The sequence below is a fragment of the Homo sapiens genome, chromosome 2, assembly GCF_000001405.40.
Source record: "Homo sapiens chromosome 2, GRCh38.p14 Primary Assembly".
NCBI lineage: Eukaryota > Metazoa > Chordata > Mammalia > Primates > Hominidae > Homo > Homo sapiens.
Genome location: NC_000002.12, coordinates 218,433,622 through 218,455,453, shown reverse-complemented (window position 1 = coordinate 218,455,453; position 21,832 = coordinate 218,433,622). Strand labels below are relative to the sequence as shown.

The 21,832-nt window shown below is 45.6% G+C and overlaps 2 protein-coding genes across 2 annotated transcripts in view; one reads left to right on the top strand and one right to left on the bottom strand.

Annotated features, from left to right (window-relative positions):
• USP37 (ubiquitin specific peptidase 37) overlaps positions 1-5,203 on the top strand; it is a 118,101-nt gene extending 112,898 nt beyond the window's left edge. The window contains exon 26 of the mRNA NM_020935.3: positions 437-5,203. Coding sequence (NP_065986.3) covers positions 437-524 — 88 coding nt within the window. The 3' untranslated portion in view covers positions 525-5,203. The remainder of the gene's footprint in view (positions 1-436) is intronic.
• VIL1 (villin 1) overlaps positions 2,159-21,832 on the bottom strand; it is a 34,173-nt gene continuing 14,499 nt past the window's right edge. Inside the window, exons 14-20 of the mRNA NM_007127.3 lie at positions 20,749-20,928; positions 20,020-20,165; positions 18,828-18,972; positions 18,142-18,330; positions 16,728-16,796; positions 14,592-14,732; positions 2,159-6,231 (exon numbers count right to left, since the gene is read on the bottom strand). Coding sequence (NP_009058.2) covers positions 6,118-6,231; positions 14,592-14,732; positions 16,728-16,796; positions 18,142-18,330; positions 18,828-18,972; positions 20,020-20,165; positions 20,749-20,928 — 984 coding nt within the window. The 3' untranslated portion in view covers positions 2,159-6,117. The remainder of the gene's footprint in view (positions 6,232-14,591; positions 14,733-16,727; positions 16,797-18,141; positions 18,331-18,827; positions 18,973-20,019; positions 20,166-20,748; positions 20,929-21,832) is intronic.

Below are 21,832 nucleotides of genomic sequence, written 5' to 3'. Positions count from 1 at the left end.
ATCTTTGGTTAGGGTCTATCTCTTGATATTTCCTTGTAAGTCCAGAATATTTTCTCTCATAACTCAGCATTAATTGCTCATTACACAGTTGTATCTAGGTATGGAAGTTAAGACAGTTTGTTTTATGATAGAAGATGTCCTGTCATAAATAGTTTTGGTCATCCAGTTTTATCAGCTAGAAGATCTGATTTATATGGATGGGAATTACCTAGCATGTTCATTAAAGCTAACTGTTGTCAGTTCCCCTCTATTCTTAAAAATCAGCATTCAAAGGGTTAAGATCAAATGAGTGAGCTGCTTTTTAAATAAAATACAGGCATGAAATGGAATTGTGAAGGCCTTATCCATATCAATTTTATTTTACTTTTTCTCCTGCCTATTCTTTGGTTCTGCTTACTAAATTTCCAGTTTTATTTTTTGCTTGTTTTATCTTAAGGGAGATCTTTGATGAGCTGCTGGAAACAGAAAAGAACTCTCAGTCACTTAGCACGGAAGTGGGGAAGACTACCCGTCAGGCCTTGTGAGGAACAAACTCCTGGGTTGGCAGCATGCACTGCATATTTGTTACTGCTGCCCACCTCACCTTTCCTCTGCTGAAGGAGAATTTGGAATTCTACTTGATGCGGGAGCAACAAACAGCTCAGGGCCAAACCAAAAGACAAAAATTGGAGTAACGTAGAATGCTCCATGCTATTTTATGGAAACTTTGGTCTCACATCCGTAGCTGATTATCCTCTTTTTCTCCTATGAGTGGCACTTCTTTTGTCTTAGGAATACATGTTGTAAATATATATCTGTGTATGTGTGTATACACACACACAGACACACACACACACACACGGGATGAATGGAGCCTTAAAGAGTTAGGATGAGCCACCAGAATATGCCTGCTCAAAATTAATAGCACAGCAGTTTGGAGAAGAAATGAAGGTGTCAAAGAGTCCATTCACCTGAGAAATGTGTGAAGACATACTTATCAGTTGGCTTTTAGCTTTTATGTTCCTTGAGTAGTTTCACTCAAGTCTGTAACCTTTTGTGTTTCCTTATTAGTAAAATTCACTGGAAAGCCAGCTCTTCATGTTACACTAATGACAGTTTGTTCTCTTTGCAAGAGAGGGGCATTACTGTCACCTGACTTGAGGAGCTGTTTTGTTGTTGTTGTTGTCTGCAAATTTCATGAATTTGTGATGTCTTTGCTGTTTACATGCAGTCCCAAGAAATGGATTGTTGGTGCTTTGGAATATGTTACAGTCCCACATTTGATATTTCTTATATACTTTGTTTTCTCTAAGGAGATTTCTTCACACAGTATGTTCATCATATATCATCATCATTATTATGGTGGTAAAGATAGAATCTTTTTTCTTTTTTGTCATTCTGCCATGGAGCAGCATTACCCTAATGGATTGCAACCAAAACTTTAAACAAGTAGAAAGATAATATTTCTCCAATTGGGACTCCCCAGCAGGAATACTTAGGGATAAGGAAGAATGCTAGCATCTCTGTCTCTCAAACATAGGGAGGATAAGAAGAGTGTTCTTCTGGTAAAGCTAAAATTCTGGACCACTGAAGCTAAAAGCCCTATTGCAAGTATGAAATTAAGTACTTGAGCTGTAGGACAAACCTTGGGCATTTAACCATTTACTGTCTGGCTTTGCCCTTAAAATAGGGTTGCAATTAAAATGTGATTGGCTTAGGTAATCCCAAAAACTAACAAATAACAAAGGTGCATAATTTATTTATCTACTTTTTAGGTGCTCTGAGTTGAGGCAAAGTAGAGCGGCAACATTAAGTGCTATGCTAGTCACTTAGCTGACGTAACCAGCTTGGTTAAGCAGCTTATGAAACCATATAAAGAATTCTTTTGAGGATGGAATTCTGTCCACAAAATAATTTTGTGAGCCCAGATATCATTAGGATCACACAGAGTTAAATATAGAAAAATGAAACCATCATTATATTCTTTCGTGTTTTTTCTTTTATTATAAACAAGGGGATTATTCTTTAGTTCTCAGAGGTAGGGACAAAACCACATCAGGTTTTCAGAAGGAAAAAACATTTAAAAACCCACCATCACATGAGAGAATCACTTGAACCCAGGAGGCAGAGGTTGCAGTGAGCTGAGATCGCATCATTGCACTGCAGTCTGAGTGACAGAGTGAGACTCCATCTCATTAAAAAAAACGAAAACAAAAACAAAAAAAACACAAACCATCATCACAGAAGATGCAACATCTTTTCTGAAAGATTGCCTTAAGAGAGCTCCAGTCCTACTCTTGGAACTTGGATGTATTCTAATGTAGTAAACTATTCTAAGTTTTCATTCTTTGAATTATAAATGGCCTCAGCAGTTTTGCTCAACTACTGATAAATGCTTTGCCTCCTACCATCTACCTATATACCTTATTGTAATGAATGTTCCAAAATGGTAGAGTGGTAGAAAACGCCAGAGTAGTTTAGAGCAGAGGAAAATATTTGTTTTAAAACTAGCTTTAAAGTTTTGTTTCATTTCTACCAGGAGCCTCTTTGGTTTGGTTTGATTTTGCTTGGAAATAATTGGTTTTCTTATAAATGAGTGAAGCGGTGATAAAATTCTTTGGCTAGTTATTAATTCTTTTACGTGTCTTTGCATTTGAGAGGCACTGTTAAAAATTATTGGGAAAGATTTAAAGTGCAGGCTGCAATTAAAACATGGAGAAAAGTAGAAATAATGCCATAAGTCTAGATTGCCTCATGAAGCAGCCTCATTTGAATTGCTTTCATAGCTTTCATGTGTGTATGGTTTAGAAGTACACTTACCTCAGAAACCTGATTTGATCTTCATGTCTTGGGCAGGAGTTGTTGAAAATAGGTTATTGGAATATATAAGTTATCTCACTGCTCATGTACTTGCATGTTTGGGACTCAAATTTTACTTGATGTCTGTCCATTCTTGTGGCCCTATCAGCCTTCTCCTTCCTTTACTCCTTTAATCTACTTCTTTGACTACCAGTGGAGATTTCAGCTGGACTATGTTGATGGGGTTTGTTGTTGTTTTTGAGCTGGCTGTATATATTTTAAAATTATAAATAGATAATATATTATTTTTTGCACATTGTGATCAGTTTGCCCAGAATTGGGGATGGGGCAGTTAGCATGTTGGGGCCAGGAAGGGACAAGTTAGATAAGGACTGAGTGCTTCCGTTGCAGGCAGTTTGCACAATACCTAATTAACCTTCCTATTGAAAATACCAAATGTGTGGTTACATTACTTTAAATGACATTGAATTGGAACTTGATGGCAATTAGTTCTAGATACAACCTTTTGATCTTTGTTGGAATTTTAAGGGAAAAATGAACTAAACTTCATATTTGTTGATTTTAATCACCTAATAGTACTGAAGGTTGGAAAGTTGCATGTGGCTGGATGCTGTTAATTTCTTTAATAGCCATGACTATAATTTAAGCCTATGAGAAGATAGACTGTTTCGTAGGGATATATTCACATGTGTGTGCACACTCATGAGTTTTGTCTCAGCAGGATAGAATAAGCAAATCCATGAACTGGTCTTCTATTAATACTTTGATTCTAAAAATTATTTGTTTACTTGCTATGGTCTGTTCATTCTGGGCCTAACCTTAAAGGCTCAATAACAAATACAACAAATGTAAATATGTTTACATTTTAAGACATATGCAGTGGTTCTTACAGATCAGTTAATTAACTCCAGAAAGCAAATGTTAGACTACACATTTATTTTTCTCCTTGATCAAGTATAAAATTCTGAAACAGAGGCTTTAAAATTTAAAACCTCAGCAAAATAATCCATGAATTTACTGATTCTTCTGTATCGTGTGTAGTTACCATTATGTAACTATACACACATACAGCTACGGATATAATGAAAATTATCTGCAAACACCTAAATTAAAGAGAAAAAAAAGTAGTTTGTAAACTCATTTGTGATCTACTGAAAAGAGGTTATATTAAAGCAAATTAAAATATTTTCCTTCTCTGTCCTCTGAAATGACTGCAGTAGATACTCTTAGTTATCCCATTTAGGGTGGTTGGAGGGCCTTTTTAATTTAATTGACCCCCCGAGGTGGTCTTTTGTTTTAAACAGGGGGCAACAGCTGGATCTCCAAGTACATATGGATTTTGTATATATAGGAGATTTTTAGAAAAATCAACAACCTAACACCAGATTCAAGTCACATAAAAGTGTTCCAATAAAATGGATGGATGTCTTTTTCCTCCCCATTTTGCTTTATACTGAGTAATGCACTCTTGCAAGTGTATACAAAAACTAAATAGACTTCTGCCCTCCAACATCTTTTTATTGCATTACTTCAAAATCCTAATTTTGTCTCTACTGATATGTCTTATTAACATCTGAAAAAATATATATTTTTTATTGGAAAATTCTAATTTGTTAGGCCTTGAAAGTTTTGTGACAATTATTTTGCTGTGTTTAACCACAATCATTCACCTTATGGCATGCTTTGATTACTAGACTTCAGGCAGTCTCATTCATTGTATCATACTTACACACAATTAGTAAGTTGTCTCCATGTGTGCTATATGTCTGAGGTGTATGGAGTTTTTATTTAAAAAGTGTGCCAGTCTGAATATAAGCATTTGATTTTGTAACATTGGACTTTTCTTAAAAGTACAGAGGTTCAAAGTATAGGTATGTCCATTGGCATAAGAATAGAGTGGGTGAGGGTCTGGACCAGGTTCCAGGTTGGTCCAGTCAGATGCCAGAACAAAGAAGAACAGTCAACTAAACTGGTCTACTTCAAAAATAGTGGGCCTGTGTGAAGAGTGAGACCACATGTGGGTGTGCACACCTCTTGTCCCCAGGTTTCCCTCCCTTTGAGCTTTTCTTTCCCTCCCTAACTTCTCTGGCCTATTGTCATTGTTGTTTCTTTAAACTTAAGGAGAGAAAAACAAAAATGAGATTCCTACACTTTGCCTAATTGAGCCACTACCAGGTTTTCTGGCAGCTGTGGCCACATTATTTGTGAGATGATTTTTTTTCTTTATGTTCAGAGTGACTTTTGATTCTGATTCTTTATGTTTTGTATGGAGCGGCACTTTTATCTGTGTTTTAGCAGAACTGTTCCTCTGTATCCTTTACGGTTTTTCTTTGTTTTTGTTTCCTTTTTAAATTATGCATAGAGTTTTTTTGTGTGTATGAAATTAAAGCCTTTATTAACCTTCTTTGATTTGACTGTTATTTCTGAAAAGGACACATTCTTGCTGATACTTGTAACAACCTGTTCAAAGTTGTGGAAATCACCTTCTGTTGGCTTTCTGACATGGACTTCCTTGCAGCACTGTTACTTCTTAAAAGGAACAGAATGGCAAACCAGTGTCTGGCCGTAGTCCCCATTGATTCCTGTTATTTTCATCTGAGGAGCCTGTGAAGCTTTGCAGAGGCTTCTGGGTAAGTTTGTAAACCTAGCATTGGCCTTCACTAGGCTCTTGCTTTGCCTCATTATTAAGGGTTGGGAGAGGGAGTGAAGTAGCATATGCATTTCATACTTGCCTTTAGGTCTCAAGCCTAGCCCCAGTGGAAGTGCTGCTCTCACTGGTACTGTTTGGAATTTGTGAAACCTCTTAAGAGGGTAGTCTTGTGGACCATTCAACTCTCCTTCAGCCCTTTAACTTACCCACTGAGTAAGGCAGTAAGGAAAGTATATGTGAAAAGGAAAAGCTGTTACTCTGGGGAAGATGTAAACCTGCAAAGTGCTTCAGCCTACCTGCCATAGATAAAAATGAGTCATGATAGAGGACAAGCTAGGGTAGTGCCTCAGAACTCTAATGTTCCATGGAGTGTTTGTGCTCTTCTAAGAAGAGAAAACTATAGGAGTATTAAAATTGATGCAATACCTCAGGATAGAAACAATCTAGCGACCTTAGAAGTTGAAATGAGGACCATAGGCTCCTTTTGGGGTATCATCTTTCTGAAGGAATAGGTACATTATTAAACAAAACTGGCATTTGCCACAGAAGTTTGTGCTCATAGGCACATCTGCAAAATTTCACTTCAATTGGTGTAGGACTAATATCGGTGAGAAAATGAGACCCTACAATCAGGGTAGGGTACTGCTTTACAACCACAGCTACTCTTCTCAAAATAGTCCTTTTTCTTTCTTGAGGTTTTGTTGCTTCCATCGAGGCAGAGCAGAGAAGGCAGCTGGAGTCATCCCAAAGGCCTGAGTGAAATCTTCAATGGACAGGTGTTCCTAGAAGAAGAGAGGGACCAGAGGGCAAAGGTCACATATCCTTCCTTCCTCCCTCACCCTCAGGCACCGTTTGCTCTGATGAGTCATAGATGTGGTATATAATCAAATAAATGAAGAGTAAACAGAAGCAGTGTCAGGAGAGCCAGGAAAGGGATGGAGAGGAGGAGAGTATGGTATTTTGGTATTCCAGAGGTTTATCCCTGATTTTTTTTTTTTTCCAGACCATGTCTTGTTCTGTTGCCCAGGCTGGAGTGTAGTGGCATGAACTCAATTCACTGCAACCTCCGCCTCCTGGTTTCAAGTGATTCTCCTGCCTCAGCCTCCCAAGTAGCTGAGATTAGAGGCATGCGCCACCATGCCCTGGTAACTTTTGTGTTTTTAGTAGAGACGGGATTTTACCATGTTGGCCAGGCTAGTCTCGAACTCCTGACCTCAAGTGATCCACCCTACTTGGCCTCCCAAAGTGCTGGGATTACAGGTGTGAGCCAGCACACCTGGCCTGATCCCTGAATTTTTAACAATGAAAAAGATAGTAGTGTGGTAGATTGAGATTTTCTTTGTACAAGGGTCAAGTTCACATTAGCCCAAATAAGAATTAGGACTCCTCTTTCCAAGCCTTAGTTTCCTCTCTATTAAATGGGGAACTTTTTTTTTTTTTTAAGACAGTGTCTTACTGTGTTCCCCAGGCTGGAGAGCAGTGGCGCACGATCTCGGCTCACTGCAACCTCCACCTCCCAGATTCAAATAACTCTGCCTCAGCCTCCTGAGTAGCTAGGACTACAGGCACCTGGCACCATGCCCAGCTAATTTTTGTATTTTTAGTAGAGATGAGGTTTTGCCTTGTTGGCCAGGCTGGTCTCGAACTCCTGGCCTCAAGTGATCTGCCCGCCTTGACCTCCCAAAATGCTGGGATTACAGGCATGAGCCACCATGCCTGGCCATTGTTTTTTGTTGTTTTGTTTTTTGAAACGGTCTTGCTCTGTCACACAGGCTGGAGTGCAGTGGCACAATCTCAGCTCACTCCAGCCTCAACCTCCTGGACTCAAGCAATCCTCCCACCTCAGCCTCCCGAGTAGCTGGGACCACAGGCATGCACCACCACACCTGGCTAATTTTTGTATTTTTTGTAGAGATCAAGTTTCACCATGTTGCCCAGGCAGGTCTGGAACCCCTGAGCTCAAACAGTCCACCCGTCTTGGCCTCCCAAAGTGCTGGGATTATAAGCATGAGCCACCACCCCCAGCCAGAAACATTTCTTAAAGGCAAATTTTCACTTGCTTTTATGAAAATGAAAATAATACTACATATGAAAGTATACTGAAAACAAATTAGGCAGGTATGGTGGCACACGCCTGTAATCCCAGCTACTCTGGAGGCTGAGGCAGGAGAATTGCTTGAACCCAGGAGGCAGAGGTTGCAGTGAGCTGAGATTGTGCCACTGTACTCCAACCTGGGCAACAGTTTTCCATCTCAAAAAAAAAACAAAACAAAGTATGTTGTTCATTTACCTCCACTTAAACAGTGAATCCAAGCTGCCCACAAAGTAAGCAGATGAGCCCTATAAGGGTATCTGCTCAAGTCTGGGTAAATGAGATTTTATTAGGGCCAGGTGTGGTGGCTCACGTCTGTAATTCCAGTATTTTGGGAGGCCAAGTCAGGCAGATTGCTTGAGTTCAGGAGTTCAAGACCAGCCTGGGCAACATGGTGAAACCCCATCTCTACCAAAAAAATACAAAAGTTAGCCAGGCATGGTGGTGCACGCCTATAGTCCCAGTTACTGAGGAGGCTGAGGTGGCAGGATCACTTGAGCCCAGGTGGCAGAGGTTGCAGTAAGCCAAGATAGTGCCATTGTACTCCAGCCTGAGTGAGAGAACAAGAAAGACCCTGTCTCAAAAAAAAGATTTTATTGCTGTCACAGGACATACAACTCTTCTAGCAAAAGCCTGTCACCCTCAGGAGAAGTCTCCCTCCTGGGCCCTACTTTGCTTTGGCTCAAGTTAACAGACTGCCTGCAAGGGAAGTAGGGCCCAATCCAGCCCTAATGGATGGAGCAAAGCAGGAATCTAATTTCCATATACTGCTGTGGCACTTAGAAAGGAACTGAGGCGGATTTGAATGTTCTCATTTTCACATGATGCAGCTAAAGTTTAAGAAAGTCAGGCCGGGCGCGTTGGCTCACACCTGTAATCCCAACACTTTGGGAGGCCAAGGCGAGTGGATCACTTGAGGTCAGGAGTTCGAGACCAGCCTGACCAACATGGTGAAACCCTGTCTCCACTAAAAACACAAAAATTAGCTTGGTGTGGTGGCAGGCGCCTGTAATCCCAGCTACTCCGGAGGCTGAGGCAGGAGAATTGCTTCAACTTGGGAGGCGGAGATTGCAGTGAGCGAGATCGCACCACTGCACCTCCAGCCTGGGCAACAGAGCGGGACTCTGTCTCAAAAAAAAAAAAAAAAAAAAAGTCAAGGTCACTTGATTACAACATATGTTCCACTGCACCATACTGACTTTCTTCCTTGAGTATTCCTTGAGTTTCAGGTATACTATAAAGCCCTCTTGTCAGCTTTCAACTCCCAGACCTGCAAGGTAAACTATTAACACTTGCAGTTGGCCACAGTTTTACCATTATGGATAGCTTCATCACTCTTGGCTTACAGGTTTGGTTCCCAGTTAAAAGGCAACTTGTTGGCCAGGCGTAGTGGCTCATACCTGTAATCCCAGCACTTTGGGAGGCCAAGGCAGGTGGATCACCTGAGGTCATGAGTTCGAGACCAGCCTGGCCAACATGGTGAAACCCCATCTCTACTAAAAATACAAAAAATTAGCAGGCATGATGGTGGGAACCTGTATTCTCAGCTACTCGGGAGCCTGAGGCAGGAGAATAGCTTGAACCTGGGAGGCGGAGGCTGCAGTGAGCCAAGATGATGGCACTGCACTCCAGCTTGGGCAACAGAGTGAGACTCTGTCTCAAAAAAAGAAAAGAAAAGACAACTTGTTAATCCTCATCAGTTTTTTATATTCTTCTGTGAATGTGTCAGATTATTTTGTAGGAGCAGGTTTTGCTTAGAGCGGGAGGGTAGCGGCAGAAGGTACAACTGAGGTCGGGGGAAGGATTCCAAAAGAAGACACTAGGAAGGCCAAAGATCAAATTCAGAACTAAATTTTGCCTAGCTTTTTGAGTCAAAAAATATTTGTATAAACAACTTGTACCAGCTTCTGTCATCCTGTGAATGATCCAGAAGATTAGATAGCACAATTTTACCTTTTTACTCTTGGCTAAGAAATCACAACTGGAGTCACTACCTTTCTAAGCCTTGGGTGTCTTCAGCCATAAGATGAAGGAATTCACTGAAATGACCTTTGTTCCCAGCACTAAGATGATAATGATACTGTTTAAGGCAAGCTAAATACCCTCAAGGCACACTCAGTTAAGAGTCCCTAATTAAAGTTGCTATAAAACATCATCTCCCTGCCTTCATCTCTGCTCCTCTAAGCACCAAGAGGTAGACAGGGTAGAGGTGAGACCTGTGGGTTTCCTTTAATACTTAGGCTGCTCTGCTAAGGTGGAGTTGCCCTAGGGAACATTTTATTGACTCCCACAGAGAGCCCTGAATTAAACAGCTTCTTAGTAAACACCTATAGATGGATTTCAACCTCAGGGGGGTCTGATGCTCCAGTCTCTAACTTGTCAATAGATTTGCCTCCCACCCTGGGCATTCTCTCCTTAAGGTTCCTGGAAGCCTTCCCCACTCCCTGAGGCAGGGTAGTGAAGTGTTTGGTTTTGGTTTGGGGGTTCTTTTTGTTTTGGCGGGGAGGTTGAGACAGGGTCCTCCTGCTCTGTCACCCAGGCTGGAGTGTGGTGACACAATCACAGATCACCTGCAGCCCCAATCTCCTGGGCTCAAGCAGTCCTCCCACCTCACCCTCCCAGGTAGCTGGGACTACAGGTGCACGCCACCACACCGGGCTAATTTTTGTATTTTTTGTAGAGACAGGGTCTCACTTTGTTGCCCAGGCTGGTCTCAAACTCCTGGGCTCAAGCAATCTGCCCGCCTTGGCCTCCCAAAGTGCCTGGGATTACAGGCATGAGCCACCGCACTCGGCTGAGTACTTGGTTTTGGAAGAAGAGAGTAAATATAAATGATTTGGGGATCAGTGGATGGGGAGAAGCTGCCATACCCCAAATCTGTTTGTAGCACCCTCCCCCCAGGTTCCTCACAGCTGTGGCTGCTATGTCCTAGGTCTTTGCTCTCTCTGGTCCAGCCAGGCTGGCTCTTCCGCTTTGTCAAGACTGCTGGACTCTGACCCCTCAGGCTAGATAGCAGGGACTACCCATCCTAGTGGACTTGTATCTTTCCATTGGTCCTGTTCTTGAACTCTGCAGTCCTGCCAGCTGATTACCAGCCTCACCCATGCCTACATCCGCCTCCCTGTTGTTTACTCATCAGTGCACAAATACTTAGATTACTATCTTGCTCTGCCTGCAGCCAGACCCACCACCCCACTGTTGTCACTGGCTCACCTTGCAAGATTGGAGCAGACAGAGAGATCTGAAAACCTCTCCTACACTCCCACATGACACTGAACTCAGCTCTCCCACAAGAATGTATACTACTTCCATGATTAAAAAATCAGCTACAGGCCGGCCGGGCACGGTGGCTCACGCCTGTAATCCCAGCACTTTGGGAGGCCAAGGCGGGCAGATCACAAGGTCGGGAGATCGAGACCATCCTGGCTAACACAGTGAAACCCCGTCTCTACTAAAAATACTAAAATTAGCCGGGCGTGATGGCGGGCGCCTGTAGTCCCAGCTACTCGGGAGGCTGAGGAAGGAGAATGGCGTGAACCCAGGAGGCAGAGCTTGCAGTGAACCGAGATCGTGCCACTGCACTCCAGCTTGGGCGACAGAGCAAGACTCCATCTCAAAAAAAAAAGAAAAAAAATCAGCTTCAGTCCAGGTGTGGTGGCTCATGCCTATAATCCCAGCACTTTGGGAGGCTGAGGCGGGTGGATCACCTGAGGTCAGGAGTTTGAGACCAACCTGACCAATCTGGTGAAACCCTGTCTCAACTAAAAATACAAAAACAAATTAGCCGGGTATGGTGGCGCACGCCTGTAATCCCAGCTACTTGGGAGGTTGAGGCAGGAGAATTGCTTGAACCAGGGAGGTGGAGGTTGCAGTGAGCCGAGATTGTACCATTGCACTCCATCCTGGGCAACAAGAGTGAAACCCCATCTCAAAAAACAAAACAAAAAAATCAGCCACAGGCTAGGCGCAGCGTCTTATGCCTGTAATCCCAGCACTTCGGGAGGCAGAGGCAGGTCGATCACCTGAAGTCAGGAGTTGGACACCAGCCTGGCCAATATGGTGAAACCGTATCTCTACTAAAAATACAAAAATTAGCCAGGCGTGATGGTGTGCGCCTGTAGTCCCAGCTACTAAGGAGGCTGAGACAGCAGAATTGCTTGAACTCGGGAGGCGGAGGTTGCAGTGAGCCAAGCTTGTGCCACTTCACTTCAGCCTGGGCAACAGAAAGAGGCTCTGTCTCAAAAAAAAACCACAGAAAACTGATTTTTACAAAAGAATCTAAGCCTTCTTTGACTGCTTCTACCATAATGGGGCTGTCTTGAGTCTGTCTATTTAAAATTAGCAATCCATTTCTGCCTTCCATCAATCCTCTGGTTCAATAACATTGGCTGTCCTCCTTTAGAAACACCTCCATTATTGGCCGGGCGTGGTGGCTCATGCTTGTAATAGCACTTTGGGAGGGCAAGGTGGGCAGATCACCTAAGGTCAGGAGTTTGAGACCAGCCTGGCTAACATGGTGAAACCCCGTCTCTACTAAAAATACTAAAATTAGACAGGCGTGGTGGTGTGCGGATGTAATCCTAGCTACTTGGAGTCTGAGGCAGGAGAATCGCTTGAACCTGGGAGGCAGAGGTTGCAGTGAGCCGAGATCGCGCCACTGCACTCCAGCCTGGGCGACAGAGCAAGACTCCATCTCAAAAAAAAAAAAAAGAAAGAAATACCTCCTTTATGCTGCATGGCATGATGGTAACAGTGGGACTCTGAAGGCCTGGTTCTTGCTCTGGCTTTGCAACTAACTAGTAATGTTAGGCAAGTCACTTCATCTCTCTGGACTTCAGTTTTCTCAGGTGTAGAACAGGCAATAATAACAGCTTTCATTTGTAGAGTACTATGTACCAAGGGCTGGGCTTAGCTTGTCATCATACAGGGATCATCCCAATGTTACAGTGAGGACCCATGTGCCTCCTAGCCTCCCAGCAACCTCACAGGTGGGAGAATCCAGGAGAGAACACAGGAATGTGCTCTCTAAGGTAAAAGGCAGAATTGAAATTCTCTGAGAACAAAACACTTATATAAATATTGAGCCGAAACCCTTAACAGACTTTGATGTTCTGAGAGAGAAACTAGGTATCTCTCTTCTGTAGATCCCTTGATTCATTTGTAAGACTACTTTATGACTTATTATACAGAGTATATTATCTCTCCTCTCAATACCCCTAAGCTAGATTGGCAGCCTATTTTGGATCTTCATGAAGTGGGATTGAATATTAGAAATGTGTTCTTAGGCTGGGTGCAGTCGCTGTAATTCCAACACTTTGGGAGGCTGAGGTGGGAGGATCACTTGAGCCCAGAAAGTTGAGGCTGTAGTAAGCCATGATTGCAACAGCACTCCAGCCTGGGCAACAGAGTGAGATCTTATCTAAAATTTAAAAAAAAGTGTCCAGCCCCAAACTCCATTCCCCACACATACACAAAAAGTGTTTTGAACAAGCTCTTCTTGCTGTGCTAACCCCAGTTACCAGATGGACCATGTGCTGATGAGTCTTAAATTCATATCTCTGCCCTGGTGTTCCTCTGAATTGCTTGCCCACTGAACATGTATCTAAACCTCAAAGGACATAGCTACCACCAAACTCATGATTGTCTTCCCCTAAGCTCAGCCTGATCCAGTTTTCTATCTTGGAGAATGATGCTATTTTCTCTTCTCTCATACTCTTTATCCAGTAATTACCAAATATCATTGATTTTACCTCCTAAATGTTTCTCTCCACCTCCTCCACCATGACTTGTTCTAGGTTCCCACCTACCTGTCGGCCTGAGAGCAGCTGTGCTGTCTCTCCTAACTGGTGTTCCTATGGCTGCTCTTGCCACCTTCCAGGCTATTGTTCGATGAGAAGCTATAATTATTATTATTATTATCATTTTGAGATGGAGTTACACTCTTGTCGCCCAGGCTGGAGTGCAATGGTGAAATCTCGGCTCACTGCAACCTCCACCTCCTGGGTTCAAGTGATTCTCCTGCCTCAGCATCCCGAGTAGCTGGGATTATAGGCACAAGCCACCATGCCCGGCTATTTTTGTAATTTTAGTAGAGATGGGGTTTCACCATGTTGGCCAGGCTGGTCTCGAACACCTGACCTCAGGTGATCCGCATTCCTCGGCCTCTCAAAGTGCTGGGATTACAGGCATGAGCCACCGTGCCAGGCCAATGTAAGTCTGTCACTCTGCTACTTCAACCATAATGATACTCCCCTTCACCACCAGGATACATGATACGATCCTTAACTTGGGGTAGAAGGCACTGCCAGTTCAGCCCTGCCTCCCTCCCTGGCTCTGCACACCACCACAGCCACTCTGGCCCTCTTGCAGTTTTGCCCCCATTTTTATTCCTTGCCTTTGGGCTTCATGTTAGCTGTCCCTTCTCCAGAACTAACTTACTTTGCCTCAATAATTCCTATTTGTCTTTCAGAAAGAAATCTCTAAATCAGGCTCCTCTTTGTAATACCTTTTTTTTTTTTCTTTTTTTGAGACAGTCTCACTCTGTCACCCAGGGTGGAGTGCAGTGGCATGATCTTGACTCACTGCAACCTCCACCTCCCGGGTTCAAGCAATTCTCATGGCTCAGCCTCCCGAGTAGCTGGGATTACAGGCATACACCACCACACCTGGCTAATTTTTGTAGTTTTAGTAGAGATGGGGTTTCCCCATATTGGTCAGGCTGGTCTCAAACTCCTGACCTCAGGTGATCCACCCACCTCGGCCTCCCAAAGTGCTGGGATTACAGGCATGAGCCACTGCACCCGGCCCTGTTTGTAATACTCTTCACAGCTCCTGTACTTCACCTTTCTGGCACTTAACCCTGAAATTAAATAATAGTGTAACCAGGCTTCTCTGATCTCTCTCCTCCTGGGATATAAGGTGGCATGAAGGCAGGATCCCATCTGTCTTGTTCATCCCCAGCACCTAGTCACCTGCAGGGCCAAATCTGGGAGTCAACTATGGTGGTCCAACAAATGGACTTCTTTGTCTTCCTTTGAGAATCTGACCTACCTCCTTCCTGCTGGGGTCCACACCCTCGGGGAGCTCCTCTACAGGCTTGTTCACTAGCTGCTCCAGGGGGAAGATGGGCAGAGGCCCAGAACTGAGGTTGCTGTTAGCATTGAACACGTCCACTTTGGGGCTTGTGACCTCCTAGGAAAGAAAAGGAAACCACTGGTTACTTTAGCTGGTGCACAGCTACCTCCCAGGCTGCCTTTCTCTCTGAAGTCTCTAGGGCACCACCTTCAAGAAGCCTCCCATGTCCCACCCCACCCTGCCACACACACACTCATAAGAACAACATAGGCTGGGTGCAGTGGCTCACGCCTGTAATCCCAGCACTTTGGGAGGCTGAGGTGGGTGGATCACTTGAGGTCAGGAGTTCAAGACCAGCCTGTCTAACATGGTGAAACCGCATCTCTACTAAAAATACAAAACTTAGCCAGGTGTGGTGTCAGGCGCCTGTAATCCCATCTACTCAGGAGGCTGAGGTAGGAGAATCGTTTGAACCTGGGAGGTGGAGGTTGCAGTGAGCTGAGATTGCGCCACTGCACTTCAGCCTGGGCAACAGAGAGAGACTCCTCAAAACAACAACAACAACAACATAGAGCTTAGTGGTCTGTTCTGACCGAAGTCCATTGGTGGAAAATGACTCTTTTCTTTAACGATTCATTAACTTTCCCATGGCTTTCCCCAGAGTTGGAGATCTAGCCTGGATATTTATGACCCTGTCTCTCTTATCTGTTGTGAAATTGTCATCTATAAATTCACTTAACCTTGACCTATCTATACATGCCAGTCTGTACTGTCAGTCCACCAAGAAGGGTTTCATGAGTGCTGCAGGTTTTGACCATCTGTTGATTATACCCCAGTGTGCTTGTGAACTTGCTCTTGAATTCTGGACACATTCCTCAGAGTTAGCTCTGTCTTGTTCTCTCTATAAGCCTGTGAACTTCTCAAAGCAAAGGTTTTGATTTCATATTCCCGTGTCCCAGGCCTAAAGGCTAAATACATTTTTTTTCTTTTCTTTTTTCGGGTTTTTTTTTTTTTTTTTTTTTGAGACAGGGTCTGACTCTGTTGCCCAGGCTGGAGTGCAGTGGCACAATTTCAGCTAACTGCAACCTCTGCCTCCTGGGTTCAAACCAACCTCCCACCTCAGCCTCCTGAGTAGCTGGGACCACAAGCACGCACCACCACACCTGGCTGTTTTTTATTTTTTGTAAAGATGGGGTTTCCCCATGTTACGAAGACTAGTCTCAAACTCCTGGGCTCAAGCAATCCACCCACCTCGGCCTCCCAAAGTGCTGAGATTACAGGCGTGAGCCACTGTGCCCAGCCTAAATACACTTCTGTTAACTCACTGAAAGACCAAAGGAGTTGTAGTTATTCTACCTAGAGAAGGGATCCCAAAGGTGATGGAGTATAGAGACAGCATTATTTCTCAAAGTGTAGTCCATGGACTAACTACATGAAATTACCTTTTTAAAATAAGATTTAAAAGATGCAGATTCCTAGGTGCCAATTCTAAGTCTATAAACCAGAATATTTGGGAATGGGGCCTTGGAATCTGCATTTTAATATGCTTCCCCCTCACTCCCTGCCCCCATCTCCCCGACTTCTATGCATGATAAAATTTGAGAACCAGGCCAGGTGTGGTGGCTCATGCCTGCAATCCTAGCACTTTGGGAGGCCGAGGCTGGTGGATCACTTGAGGTCAGGAGTTTGAGACCAGACTGGCCAACATGGTGAAACCTCGTCTCTACTAAAAATACAAAAATTAGCCAGGCGTGGTGGCACACACCTGTAATCCCAGCTACTTGGGAGGTTGAGGCATGAGAATCACTTGAACCCAGGAGGTGGAGGTTGCAGTGAGCTGAGATCCTGCCACTGCACTCCAGCCTGGGAGGCAGAGTGAAACTGTGTCTCAAAAAAAAAAAAAAAAAAAAAATTGAGAACCATTTCACTAGGAAATTGAGGAAACAAAACCACTAGAGGCACTGAAGTAAAACAGCAAGAAGAATGAGAAGTGGGGGAGAAATAGGAGGGAAAGCACAGGACTCTGGTGTCTTCTCTGCAGCGTTCTTGGCTCCCACAGGTCTGACCACCAGCTGGCCACTGCAGGGCCCAGCCACCCCGCCCCGGACTCACAGCAGTGATCTGGCTCCAGTCCCTAGAGTTGCCAAGCTCCGCCTTCAGGTCCTCATAGGATTTGGTGTTCTGCACATAAAGTAAATAACAGATTAGACCTGGATCTCAGCAGAGGAGATGGATGAGAAGCCATTTTCCCTCAGGAATGAAAAGAAGGCTGGTCTGGGGCCTAGTGGTAAGAAAGGAAAGAGGATATGAAGGCTGAGGCTGGAGGAGGGTCCCTGAAAAAGGAGATTAGATGGTGAGATTGGGACCAGAGGGGCTGCCAGATCAGAAAAGTGGAGCGCAGGCTATATTTGTCCCAGCTCAGCCTGACATGGGGATGGGCAGGATCTTTTGCCACCTGCAGGGGCCAGGGCAAGAACCCACAGGCAGTATGGAGAACCCTGCCTAGGCTATGTAGGCTCTGGGAAATGCAGGGCTCCTGGGGATGGGTGGGGGTCCCCCCAGATAATAGAAGGGAGCCCTGCCACAGAGGAGTGAAGGGACCATGGCTCTGAGGAGTCCCATCTCCATATCCTAGAGCACACTTATGCTGAATGAATGAATGAATGAATGAGTGAATGAGGCTGAGAGAGAAGCCAGCACACACTTGAGGTGAGGGAAAGGTGATAACTAAAGTGGATTGAGAAAACCTGGCATCTCGATATGCTGCCTTGAGTAAAAACTAAAAGCCCATCTAACTGCAGAATTTAAAAAAACAAACCAACAAATTTAAGGAAATTAAGCTTTCTGCTTCCCTAAAGCCATCTGTTGTGACAATTTAGAGCACCCAGAGCCACCAGGCCAGGCTTCACTGTACCTTGGCCTTCTTCCTACCGAAAACCTTTGCTGGAGTTCCATTGTGGGTATCTGCCCCTTGCTTCTATGTGGGGCCAGTTTAGGAAACACCCCGTGGGAGGTTGGCACACCATCCCTCAGGTAAGGACCACACACATGACCCATTTTGCTTAGAATTTAGCACCAGGAAGACATTTGTCAGTCCTTTAGAACCAACGTGTTTCAGCTGGCATGGAGGATCCACCATGTTGCTGCAATGATGAGAACATTCTCACCTCTGCTGCCCAACACAGTAGCCAGCTGCCACATGTGGCTAGTGACAAACTGAATTTTGAACTGTGTTTAATTTTAATTTAAGTAATCAGTACATTTCTTACCTATACTATCCAGCAGCTTTGCTCTAAATGTAGTGCACAAACAAGGCACTATAATTAGCCTTGGTTTTTGATAGACTTCTTCCCTCTCACCAGAGGCCTAATGGCCTTAGTGCAGCCTTACTTTCTATTCTAAGCCTCCTCTAGCCCCTTTCTAAATCAGCAGGTCATATATCCCAAAGAGACAGAATGGCCTGCAGGAATCAGCACTGATCTCCAGGCAGGGCTAGAGAAGGACATGCTGGGATGAGGCCACTCACACTCCACTTGAAGGGATCCCAAGCCAGGAACCAGCCTGTGAAGGTGGGGGGCTCGTGTCCCTGCTTCACCACAATGATGGGGGTCTCAGGGTCACGCCCGCTGGGATGGGTCTTGAGGTATTCCTGTGCAGTGGTTGCTGCGGCCTTCTTCTCCTCCTCGTTGGCATGTTTCCCAATCCAGAAGAAGACCTATTGAGAAACCCAGGGGATCAGTCCATCCTTCCTGTCCTCCCTGGCCCACAGGGCTCTGCCTCAGTTGTCCAACAGTGAAACCCTGACCTTGACCCTGACTCTACCACTACCAGCCAAATGACCTAGGGCAGGCATCATCTGGCCTTGAATTTGTATCTGGGAAATTAGAAGGTTGGACAGATGCCTTGTACTTGGATATTCTGCAAATGTGTGTCTCCCAGACTGTCCAAAGCCCAGGATTCTCAAAAACACTCCTGCTGCCATGTGAAATAAATAGGACTTTGGGAGAGAATACGTTCTTCCCTGCAGCCCCTCTGAGCATGTTCCTCCCCACCTTCCTTCTTTCTTACACTTCTGGTGTTCATACCATTTCCAGGGAGAAATTATGTAAGGGCCAAGAAAACATTGACACTTACCTAACCTTAAAGCCACTCTTTCTTGGCCCTGGGGATTGAGGTGGCTGGGAAGAGGGGTCCCCAGGCCCTTGGTCCTACCTGGTCCCAGACATCTAGTAGGAACACATCATCCTCTTCCAAGTCATCCTGATTGAAGTCAGGGATCTCTGTGGCCAGGAAGCGCCCAGTCTTGTTGGAACACTCAAAGAGCCGGGGGGTGATGACCAGGTTTTCTTCCTGTAGTCTGCAGGATGGAGAGAAGATTGTACTGGCAGAAGGAAGGTGTGGCAAAAGGAGAATTGAGGACACAGAACTCTGAGGAAGGGACTCTGGCATAGAAAGGTCATCTCCAGCAAAATGCTCTATCTTCTGATTGATAAAAGGGTCCCCTCTCATTCCAAGAGTGCTCTGAGGAAGAAATTGTCACTGCTTTCTGGACATGCATTCCAGTGTCTTTTGCAGAGCCTTGTTAGGAAGTTCTTCCTGATATCTTCCCTCCATCCCTCCTACTGCTACTACAGTACATGCCCTTTTGCTTTTGAACTAGGGACTAGTAGATCATGGATATTCTCTAGAAAAACCATTTGAGCCAGTCACCGTGGCCCACACCTGTAATCCTAGCATTTTGGGAGGCTGAGGCAGGTGGATCACCTGAGGTCAGGAGTTCAAGACCAGCCTGGCCAACATGGTGAAACCCTGTCTTTACTAAAAATACAAAAATTAGCCGGGCACGGTGGTGGGCGCCTGTAATCTCAGCTACGCAGGAGGCTGCAGCAGGAGAATTGCTGGAACCTGGGAGGCGGAGGCAGAGGCTGCAGTGAGCTGAGATTGCACCACTGCATTCCAGCCTAGTTGACAGAGCGAGACTCTGTCACAAAAACAAAACAAAACCATTTGAAAGAGGGCTTGTGGCTGGGGCTCCTCAGCATCCCAGGCCTGTGTCAGGACCTAAAAGCAGGCTGGCCTCTGGCATCTTGTTACTGAAAGGCAAACCTCTAGCCCTGCCCCTTGCTTTGAGCTGCCTCCTATGGCCAGGAATTCCCTTTGCCAAGGAAATACCCCACCAGGTCCTGGGCATACTGTAGTGAGCAGCACAGACACAGCCCCTGTGCCAAGAGGCTCCAAGGGTATGGGCTGCCCTTTATTCATCTTGTAGCCCTGGGGGTCTGGCACAGTGCCTGACACACAGAGTCCTCAGTCCATGCCTGCTGTAGGCTCTGGGTGTAGGGATGGAGATGCTGGGCGGCTCCCCCACCTTGGTAACCTGGAGGCGGAGGGACCTGAGAGTTACCTCTTGGTGTTGGCATAGGGGGCCTTCCCACCCAGGGCCATCCAGAAGTTGGCTGGCTCCTGCCCTTCCACCACCACTTGCTTCTCCGTCCGGGAGATGGTGTCAGCAACCATCTTGGCCATCTCCCGCTCGTCCCCGCTACAACCCTAGGAAAAAAAAGAGTTGGCTAATTTCTAGTGCCACCCCTACCTCCACCCTCCTACTACATTCACTGCCCAGAGTTCAGGGGTCAAAGAGGGCTCTCCTGGGTCAGGACCTTGTGTATACAGGCCACACAGGGACAATTCCATGCTTTCTTCTGTCCTTGACACTCCAAAGAATAGCAGAAGAAACTAGAGAGTCTTTTCAAGGTTCGAGAGGGACTCCAAGAGGCTATGCATTCTTCTTACAGAGATCAAAGGAGAGGCAGTGACAGGCTCAGGGTAGTGAGAGAGAGCCCAAGACATAAAGACAGACCAACACAGGGACAGATGGAGGTGGCCAGAGAAACAGAACAAGAGAGACTGACTCCGACAGAGAGGCAGAGAATCTGAGGATGGTCATTGATGAGGCAGAAGGATAGACCCAGAGCTACTGAGGAGGGAGAGACTGGGCTCCAGAGGCGGCTGAGAATTGAGCAGGCACAACTTAGTTGGCCAGGGGTTCCTGCCCTGACCTAGGGCTGCTGCGAAACTGGGGGACTCCCAGGACCCACTTGCGGATGGGGAGGCCTCTAGACCCTGAACACACCTTCCCACACCATAGATAGCAGCAAGACTGGGTCTTGAGGACAAAGACATCATTGGAATTGAGGAAATTGGCCCGCGCTGGGACCTCAAAGGCCTTGGTGTTGTTGGCGCCAGTTCCCTGGACCTGGAACAGCCGTGTGGAGGGCCCGGTCTCCAAGTTGTTAGTTCGGGAGGTGCCTCCCTGCAGGTGAGGGCAGAAGACAGGGAGAGAGAGTCAGGAGTCACTTAGTAAAGAAGATGATGGGGAACAGAGGGGGATAGGGTAGGGCGGGGAGGTTTGCCCCTGAGCTCCTCTGATGCTCCGTCACCAGGTCTTTCTAAAACATTGTTTGCATCACAGCGTTTCTCTTTTCAAAAATGTTCAGTGACTCCCCATTGCTTCTAGCCTAAAGCCCAGCTCCTCAGCTTTGCCTTTGAAGGCCCCACATGACGAAGATGCAAACTGCCTTTGCAGACACTGCTGCCATCAAACCCTCCAGCTAGCTCTGCCAGGCTTTTTTTTTTTTTTTGAGACGGAGTTTTGCTCTTGTTCCCCAGGCTGGAGTGCAATGGCACTATCTCAGCTCACTGCACCCTCTGCCTCCTGGGTTCAAGCAATTCTCCTGCCTCAGCCTCCTGGGTAGCTGGGATTGTAGGCACCCACTGCCACGCCCGGCTAATTTTTATATTTTTAGTAGAGACGGGGTTTCTTCATGTTGGTCAGGCTGGTCTCGAACTCCCAACCTCAGGAGATCCGCCCGCCTTGGCCTCCCAAAGTGCTGGGATTACAGTTGTGAGCCACAGCGCCTAGCCTTTTTTTTTTTTTCCTTGAGACGGAGTCTCGCTCTGTTGCCCAGGCTGGAGTGCAATGGTGTGATCCTGACTCAGCGTCTCCCAGGTTCAAGCCATTCTCCTGCCCCAGCCTCCCCAGTAGCTGGGATTACAAGTGTGCACTACCACGTTTGGCTAATTTTTGTATTTTTAGTAGAGACAGAGTTTTGCCATGTTGGCCAGGCTGCTCTCGAACTCCTGACCTCAGGTGATCCACCCACCTCTGCCTCCCAAAGTGCTGGGATTACAGGCGTGAACCACCATGCCTGGCCAGT